At 50.5% G+C, this 6,259-nt stretch overlaps 1 annotated feature.

The window, feature by feature from the left end:
• Nucleotides 331-965: an enhancer, noted in NCBI's record as "OCT4-NANOG hESC enhancer chr18:13180459-13181093 (GRCh37/hg19 assembly coordinates)". NCBI's record gives its function as "activates a minimal SCP1, AML or CMV promoter by ChIP-STARR-seq in naive and primed H9 embryonic stem cells {active_cell/tissue: H9 hESC(naive and primed)}" and the evidence as "EXISTENCE:reporter gene assay evidence [ECO:0000049][PMID:30033119]".

The following is a 6,259-nucleotide window of genomic DNA, read 5'->3' on the forward strand; positions in this document are numbered from 1 at the left end:
GATAGATGCTGCCATTTCTGTGTGAGAAAGCTTAGTGAGGTTCAGGAGCTTGTCCAACATCTTCCCATTTAGCCAGTAAGGGGCAGATCTGGTGATTAAAAAAACAAACCGAAAAAACCCTAGCTTTCTTATGGTGTAATTGACATATAATAAACTGCACCAATTTTTTTTTTTTTTTGAGATGGAGTCTAGCTCCGTCACCCAGGCTGGAGTGCAGTGGCATGATCTCAGTTCACTGCCACCTCTTTCTCCTGGGTTCAAGTGATTCTCCTGCCTCAGCCTCCCAAGTAGCTGGGATTACAGACACCTGCCACCACGCCCAGCTAATTTTTATATTTTTAGTACAGATGGGGTTTCACTGTGTTGGCCAGGCTGGTCTCGAACTCCTGACCTCATGATCCACCCGCCTCAGCCTCCCAAAGTGCTGGGATTACAAGCGTGAGCCACCGCGCCCGGCCAAACTGCCCCAATTTAAAGAGTACAACTGCCTAAGCTTGGGCACAGGTGTAACCCTGTGAAACCATCACCATAATCAAGACAATCAACATGTTGCAAAAGGGCCCCCAATTCACTCTGCCAAAAGGAAAAATACCAAGCTGAAAGCTGAGTCATTGAAGAAGCTGCCTTTCCTTTTATTCCTAAGCAGATAGCTACAGATAACAGGTTAAACGTCTCTGCAGGGAGCTACTCTATGTTCACCTTCTTTTATGTAAAGTGCTGGTTTACTTAGCAGGAGACCAGTACATACTTGACTATTGCCCTACCTGCTCCTTTTCTCTTGCAACATATGGATTACCATACCCCTCCTCTTTCCCCTCCAGCCCACTTTTCCCCTTTAAATATTAAAGCCTCAAAATCGTCTTTGGAAAAAGGCACAGACCACGGACTGCTTCTGGGATTCTGTCTTTTCTTCTGCCAGGCAGGTCCTTAACCTTGGCAAAATAAACTTGTAAATTGATTGAGACCTGTTTCAGATACTTTTTCATTTACAACATCCATCCCCCAGAGTTCCCTCCTGCCCAGTCCTAATCTCCAGCATCTCCCTGCCCCCCACCCTGTCCCCAAACAACTGGTGGTCTGTTTTCTCTCATTAGAGATTAGTTGGCATTTTTATATAAATGAAAACATACGGCATATTTCTTTTTTGTCTGGCTTTTAAAATTCCGTGGTGTTGTTTTGAAATTCTTCTGGGCCATACACAATATGCATGTCAATAAATCGTTCTTTCTGATGACCAAGTAGTATTCCACTGTATTGATTATACCACAATTTCTCTATTCATCTATTGATTTGGTTGTCTACAGTTTGGGACTCTTACAAATATAGCTGCTATGAACAATTGTGTACAAGTCTAAATGGATAAGCAGTCGTCCCCTCTTATCCATGGGGGATGCCTTCCAAGATGCCCCCCACAGTGGGTGGCTGAAACCTCCAGTAGTACTAAAGCTGACTGCCGGCCATTGGGACATGTCTCCACTGAGGACTTCCATCCACAAACTTAATGCTTTTTCCATCTTAGCCAAGCACGCACTATACACTGTGGCTGTAACTTTTGCAGTTTGAGGAGCAATAGCAAAACTAGCATGAATTTCTTTTTTCTTCTTCACAATTTCACACACAGACGCTTTGTTCTTACTGTAGAGCTCAGTGTGTGATTTTTTTCTTTCCTTATTAAGTCAAAAACGTTCACCTTTTCATTTGAAGGAAGCAACTGATGGCTTCTCTTTGGCGTATCCGAATTGCCAGCACTACTACTCTTGCACTCTGGGGCCATTCTGAAGTAAGACAAGGGTGACTTGAGCACAAGCACTGTGGTACCGTGACACAAGTCGATCTCATCCCGAGACGGCTCCTAGGTGGCGATGACGGTACGGACATGCTGGAGAAAGGAAGGATTCACACCCCACCTGGGACCGAGCGGGACAGGGCAAGCTGAGCGACGGTACTCAGAATGACATGGAATTTAAGACATGAATTGTTTATTTCTGGAATTTTCCATGTAACATTTTCAGACCACAGGTGACTGTGGGTAACTGAAAGTGCAGAAACAGAGATAAGGTGTGGCTGCTGTATGTTTCCTTTCTCCTGGGTAAATACCTGGGGGTGGAGTGGCGGGGTCATAAGGTGAGTCTATCAGAACTTCTTAAGAAATAGCCAGGCTGGCTTCCAGAGTGGCTATTCCTTGTTGTAGCCCCCACAGCCGGGGGTGAGAACACAGCGAGCATTTGGAGTTCAGCTGCCCAAAAGCAAAGACCACGAGGGCTACGGTCACGTGTGTGGTGGGGCTGATATGCCACTGGTGTGCTGACCCCGCAGCTCCTGCGGCTGCTCCCCTGGACCCGCCTCCACTAGAAGCAAACAGCCGAGGCCCCACCCTCGAAGGGGATGATCCCCCTTTCTCAGGTGTCTTTCTTACGGCTTTGGTGGGAGCTGTTGCTTGTCTGTCACTGTCTACCAGAAAGTAATAAAACAAATGAGCCAGCTGCAAATGAAATGGAGTTGAAATTAGGAGTTCACTTTTAGTAGAATAATTTGTTATTTTCCATTAATGTATGCTTACGATTAGGACTTTATATTTCCACCTATAATATATTTGATCTTTAAAGGTGTTCCACAGATGGGAGCTCCTTGATTTCCCATCTGAGCCTAGAGGGGGACACAGGAAACCACTGGCAGCTTCTGGGGCAGGGAGTGAGCTGGGGACGAGGAGATTGCCTCTCTGCCCTTGTTGTGATCATAGAACAGAGACCACATGCGTGTAGGTGCTTGAAATAAAGAGACAAATACGGCCGGGCACAGTGGCTCAGGCCTGTAATCCCAGCACTTTGGGAGGCCGAGGCGAGTGGATTACCTGAGATCAGGAGTTCGAGACCAGCCTGGTCAACATGGCGAAACCCCATCTCTACTAAAAATACAAAAATTAGCCACACGTGGTGGTGGGTGCCTGTAATCCCAGCTACTCGGGAGCCTGAGGCAGGAGAATGGCTTGAACCTGGGAGGCGGAGGTTGCAGTGAGCTGAGATTGTGCCACTTCACTCCAGCCTGGGCGACAGAGTGAGAGACTCGGTCTCAAAAAAAGAGAGACAAATACAACTTCTGTTGTCATCCTTTATTGGGGAAGCAGATGGTAAAAAATAAAAATGAATAGAGGTAGGCGCACATGACATTAGTTGCTGTGTAAAAGGAATAGGAAAGACAGATGAAAATTAGAGGAGTCAGACAGGATGCTGTTGAAATTAGGGTGACCATGTAATATATTTTTTTAACCAGGATAATTTTTTAAAAACTTTTAATTTTGAGATAATTGTAGATTTGCACACTGTTGCAAGAATTAACACAAACAGAATTCCATATGCCCTCACCCACTTTCCCCAGCGGAAATATTTTGCATAACTCATCTGCTACCACAGCCAGATAACGCATTGATGCACTCCCAACCCCGCTCAGAGCTTACCAGTTTCACATCAAACCGTGATGATTTTGAGAGTGTAAGAGAACAGAATTATAATTTTTCCCAGATGACAGATGTGAACTATGACTGCCCATGGTCTCCCGTGCTTTTTCTAGGAGCCTACAGAACCTGTTCAGGGAGATAGAAAGAAAAAGGGGACACAGACAGTTCCTGCCATGAGGACTTTCTGTCTACTGGAGGGATACCTCAGAATTCAGACAATCCTATGCAAAGTGGAATGTGTGAAGTGAATAACAGAGTAATAGGATGCAGACAGCATTAACCTCCACTTGAGAGGCTGGGGAAAGTGTCATGTTGGACAAGACAGCTGAGTTTGTCCTTGACCCCTGGGTGGCTGCCTCTTGCAGTTCCTGGCATAGGTTAGTGGCTAGGAGCCAAACTGTCCAGGCTGAAATCTTGCCTCTCTCCTCACTGCCTGTGTAACTGTGGGCAAGGCGCTTGACCTCTGAGCCTCCATTTCTCCTCTGTAAGAACGAAGGAGTAACAGCGCCTAGCTCGTGGAGGGTGGGGAGGGCTGCCCGAAACACACACACAGAGCTCAGAATGCATGCGGCCCTGAGGACGTGCGGATAAATGGCTACTTTGCTATCACCCACAGGTAGAAGATGCTTAATATGCATTCGTTGACTGGGCATGAAAGTGGAGAACCTGGCTAGCCATCGGGTGGGAGTGAATGGAATATTTAACTTGGGGTTGAGTTGGGCCTACAGAGAAGAGAGGTTGGGTGCATCGCGTGGAGCTGGGGAGAAAGGCTGTGGCTGGAGGGTTATTCTTGAGGACGGGACAGTGTGAACCTCGAGGATTCAGGTGGCCAAGTCAAGTCAGGTGAGAAGAGGATGCAAGACGGGGCGACAGTCTCTACTCTTCTGGGAGTTAAGAAGGTCCTGCAAGAGCTGATACTGCCCAGGTGGGTTTTTTGGGAAGCGGCTCTGGAACTGAGGCTGGTGCTCAGCAAGGGGACGAGCAGTGTGGGCCGGGGACGCTGGGCCACCTGCCATCTCCATGGTGGCCTCCGCCCATCCCTGCAGAGTGCTGTGGTGTGGATGGCCTTTGGAATTGTCCTGGCCATGGTGAGGGGGCCCGACCCTCACACTGCCAAGATGACAGATGGCTGGATGGGGGCTGTGCCTGGAAGGAGGGGTGATGGGGGTGTGAGGCCCTGTCTCCTGAGGGCAAGCCTGGTGTGCACTGAACATCTTTCACATGGGAATGTGGCTGACTGCTACGGGGTCTCCAGGAGGGGTGAAGGCAGAAGGGCCTGGCAGTGAGGAGCATGAGGACCTAGGAGCAATTGGCCATGGGGTTTAGGGATCTAAGCCTTTGGTGATGCCAGGGAGGCTGGGAGCATGGGAGGACATTTCCTTGTCAGTACACGAGGTGAGGAGGTGGAGGCAGAACCATGAAGGACTTGCGGCAAGGAGCCATGTGGCCCAAGGAGGCCTGGCTGGTGGAGTAAGGATTGATGAGAGGGCCTGCTAGGAGTGGGACACGAGGCTGCGCTGCCCTCACTGGGGGGTAAGACTTCTGCCCTGAGGCTTCTCTGTGCAGCCGGAAGGTGCACCCAGGCCTGCGCTTCCTGGAGCTGCCACCTCTCCCTGCAGGTTAGGCACCCGGACTCTGTGCCATGCTGGTGAGATCCTTGGCATTGGGAATGTAGTTTGTGCTGGAGCTGGATTCTGAGCAGCAGGAACTGGGCCTAGTCGGCTTCCCTGTTGCTTTCCAGAGTCTTCAAGGGCAGGGTGTCAGGCATCCAGGGAAAGAGAAGACACTTCTACCGACTGGCGAGCCCACACTGCCACAGTGGAGAGCCAAGAGGGCCTTCGAGACTCAAACGGAGAGGCAAACGTGGATCCCTTACCTTCTCACTGGAGAATCCAAAGGCTTCGCTACAGCAGAGAAGCCCTGTGCGTGGCTGGGCTGAGCTTTGGCGCCACGGTCCCATGTTGAAGCCTGGAGTGGCCACAGGGCACTTCTGATCTCCTCATAGGCCTCAGTTTCCTCATCAGTGAAACCAGGGTGGAGAAGAATGGTGTTACCTGCAGAGATGTTGGGCTCAGAGATGAGCAAGATCATGGAAGCAGAGCATTAGCCCCTAGGATGTTTGGTGCGTGTTTGCTGCTGTTACAATGGCTGCGGGTAGGTGAACCCATTTGTGTAAAGTTCAGCTGGAATTGACAAACTCTGTTTTTGTCATGATCAGCAATCCTGCTCCAAAACACATGGCTCCCACCTGGGTACCTCCCCTCCCTTCCTCTGGCACTGAGGGCTGCCAAGGTCAGGGGTTTCAGAAGGTGGCAGTGAGAATCAGCAGAGCCTCCACTGCTGTCAGCCAGCACTGCCCTGCATCCAAACGACACAAGCAGTGGTAAGGCCTCCTGGGTGGGTCAGCTGGCAAGGAGCCCTGCCCTTGCTGTGGGCTCTGGGGGCGGCCACAGCCACTCTACAGCAGCCACATGCAGGCATCCTCTGGCTGTGGAGCAGCCGCTGGCCCATGGCCGAATGTGCACTCGGCTGTGTCTCAGGGGACAGCCTGGCCAGGCGGAGTCCAGGTCAGTGGAGGAGACAGGCTTCTGTCACCCAGCCCAGGCCCAGGGAGAGTAAGGCATGGACAGGTGGCTAGCAGCCCCTACAGCAAGCAGCCAGGATGGTCCCCCTGTGCACAGGAGTAGCCTCTCTGAGGTCAGTTCTAAGCCACACATTCCCAAAAACAAGGCTGAAGGAGCCCCTCTGGGAGGTGGAGGCTCTCCCCTTATACCTAGGGGTCCTGGGCCCACCCTATCCCATCTG

This window comes from Homo sapiens, chromosome 18, assembly GCF_000001405.40.
Source record: "Homo sapiens chromosome 18, GRCh38.p14 Primary Assembly".
Taxonomy (NCBI): domain Eukaryota; kingdom Metazoa; phylum Chordata; class Mammalia; order Primates; family Hominidae; genus Homo; species Homo sapiens.